The following is a 3,459-nucleotide window of genomic DNA, read 5'->3' on the forward strand; positions in this document are numbered from 1 at the left end:
CTCAAAGTGCTGGGATTACAGGCGTGAGCCACCACGCCCGGCCACAAAAGCTTAATTCTATTAAAAAGTCAATTGCTATCAGTGCCTTTTATCCCCCTTAAAATAAAAACAACAAATTATATAGATTTCATCTACCCCTATTTCCCAGATATAAATTAAATTTCTTCCACATTTAGGCAATTCCAAAACTAAAAGTCATCTTTGCCCATAAAAGAAATATTTGCACAAAGTAGCTTATGAATTATAGTACCTGGCCTTTCTACACTATCTTTCAAAATAAAATCAGTAAGTAGAAAATAGGAGCCCAGGTTTCATACTAATATTGCATTTAAATTTTTTTTTATTGTATTTTAGAGACAGAGATTCACACTCTGTCAGCCAGGCTGGAGTGGCACAATCATGGCTCACTGTAGCTTCAAACTCTTGGGCTCAAGTGATTCTCCCATCTCAACCTCCCAAAGTGCTGGGGTCACGGGCGTGAGTCACACCATGCCCAGCTGGAACAATAAAATGTTTAAGTTGGCTGGGCAAGGTGGCTCACGCCTGTAATCCCCGCACTATGGGAGGCCGAGGCGGGTGGATCACCTGAGGTCAGGAGTTTAAGACCAGCCTGGCCAAGATGGTGAAACCCCGTTTCTACTAAAAATACCAAAAATTAGCCAGGCGTAGTGGCGGGTGCCTGTAATCCCAGCTACTCAGGAGGCTGAGACAGAAGAATCGCTTGAACCCGGGAGGCGGAGGTTGCAGTGAGCTGAGATTGTGCCATTGCACTCCAGCCTGGGGAACAAGAGCGAAACTCTGTCTCAAAAAAAAAAAAAAAAGTTTAAGTTATATTCACATAATTTCCTTGTTTGAAAATGGAATTGATGGCAATCTAATTTACAGCAACCTATTTAAACATAATTACTAGAATATTTTAATTTTTCAGACAGAGTCTTGCTCTGCTGCCCAGGCTGGATTGTAGTGACACAATCTCAGCACACTGCAAACTCCACCTCCCAGCTTCAAGTGATTCTCCTGCCTTAGCCTCCTGAGTAACTGGGATCACAGACACACGCCACCACATCTGGCTAATTTGTGTATTTTTAGTAGAGATGGGGTTTTGCCATGTTGGCCAGGCTGGTATCGAACTCCCGGCCTCAAGTGATCTGCCCACCCCAGCCTCCCAAAGTGCTGGGATTACAGGTGTGAGCCACTGTGCCTGGCCAATTACGAGAATATTTAATTACTAAACATAGTAGAATACACATTTAAGCAAAACCCTCATTTGGACCACTTAAGAGTGAAGGCTTACAAAAACTAGTAAAAGTCTAAAGGAAATAGGTTTTGCATCTTTCCAATACGTAATAAAATTGCAAAGTCAATGTTTATAATGTATTAAGTAGAAGCTCAAATGCTTTTAATAGGGAAAATTTAATTTGGACATACTAGTAAAGTATCTAAAACATTTATTAAATTATTTTTGTCAAGTATCATCTTTACTCATAGATACTACCAAAGAGCAACCTAGACAGTAAAATTAGTTCCCGTATCTGAGGACTCCAAATTAATAAATTTTAATATATTAATATTAAACAGAGCATGCATTTTTAGAAGGATGCAAATTTCTACTCCTTCATATCCAGAGATTAAATTCAGCAAAGCTAATGGACTTGTTAACACTTACACAGAACATGGAAATAGGTCCTGACTACATACATACTCCACATAACTACTGAAAACTTAAAACCCAGTTGCTTATTTCATGGCAACCTGGTAGAATAATTATGTAATAAACGACAATAAGAAAAAGCCACTTATCATATAGTCTAGTCTTTATTGAAAGACTTACTTCAACTGTTGTTTACAGCTTTGGCTTAAGTTGGCCATTTTAGCCTCTCACTGCCAGCAGACATAAAAATCAAGTGGGAATGGCACGGGGGTTGGGAGTGAAAATACTAGTAGAGAAATTATGAGAACAAAGAATATGGCAGTCAGTCAGAAACACATCACCAAAATAAATCTCAAAATAATTATGAAATAAAAAACATTTCCTTGCATGCCCAAAAAGTCTCTGCTGATGTTTTTGATGAACGGGGTGGGGAGCAACGATTCTTAGGCTTAAGTTGGATCAAGATAGCATTGGGTCATGTTATAAAATCATCTGTTAGCTCAACAGCCATACTTTTAATTAATTCATTTATTTTTTGAGATGGAGTCTCGCTCTGTCGCCCAGGCTGGAGTGCAGTGGCGCATTTTCAGCTCACTGCAACCTCCACCTCCCAGGTTCAATTCTCCTGCCTCAGCCTCCCAAGTCACTGGGACTACCAGCGCCCACCAGCACGCCCAGCTAATTTTTTTGTTATTTTTAGTAGAGATGGGGTTTCACCATGTTGGCTGGGCTGGTCTCAAACTCCTGACCTTAGGTGATCCACTACCCGCCTCAGCTTCCCAAAGTGCTGGGATTACAGGTGTGAACCACCATGCCCGGCAACAGTTGCACTTTTTTTTTTTTTGAGACGGAGTCTTGCTCTATTTCCCAGGGTGGAGTGCAATAGCACAATCTTGGCTCAGGGCAACCTCCGCCTCCTGGGTTCAAGAGATTCTCCTGCCTCAGCCTCCTGAGTAGTTGAGACTACAGGCACGGGCCACCACGCTTAATTTTGTATTTTTAGTGGAGACAGGGTTTCATCATGTTGGTCAGGCTGAGCCACTGCGCCCGGCCCAGTTGTAGTTTTTAAATGGTACATTTCATTTGGATAAGTAGCTTTGTATTTTAAAAACCACTTAATGGCCAGGTGCAGTGGCTCACGCCTGTAATCCCAGCACCTTGGGAGGCCGAGGTGGGTGGATCACGAGGTCAGGAGATTGAGACCATCCTGGCCAACATGGTGAAACCCTGTCTCTACTAAAAATACAAAAATTTACTAGACATGGTGGCATGCATCTGTAGTCCAGCTACTCGGGAGGCTGAGGCAGGAGAATAGCTTGAACCCAGGAGGCGGAGGTTGCGGTGAGCCGAGATTGCACCACTGCACTCCAGCCTGGCGACAGGGCAAGACTCCGTCTCAAAAAAAAAAAAAAAAAAAAGCCAGACACCGTGGCTCACGCTTGTAGTCCCAGCACTTTGGGAGACTGAGGCGGGCGGATCACGAGGTGAGGAGATCGAGACCATCCTGGCCAACATGGTGAAACCCCCATCTCTACTAAAAACACAAAAAAATTAGCTGGGCATGGTGGCACGTGACTGTAATCCCAGCTACTCAGGAGGCTGAGGCAGGAGAATCGCTTGAATCTGGGAAGCAGAGGTTGCGGTGAGCCAAGTTCTCATCACTACATGTACTCCAGCCTGGCGACAGAGCAAGACTCCATCTAAAAAAAAAAAAAAAAAAAAACCACTTAATATGAAATAACTTCCATTAACTGATCATGAAATTTTGCCCTCTTTCAGATTAAGATGAAGGACACTTCAGTCACATG

This window comes from Homo sapiens, chromosome 10, assembly GCF_000001405.40.
Source record: "Homo sapiens chromosome 10, GRCh38.p14 Primary Assembly".
Lineage (NCBI taxonomy): Eukaryota > Metazoa > Chordata > Mammalia > Primates > Hominidae > Homo > Homo sapiens.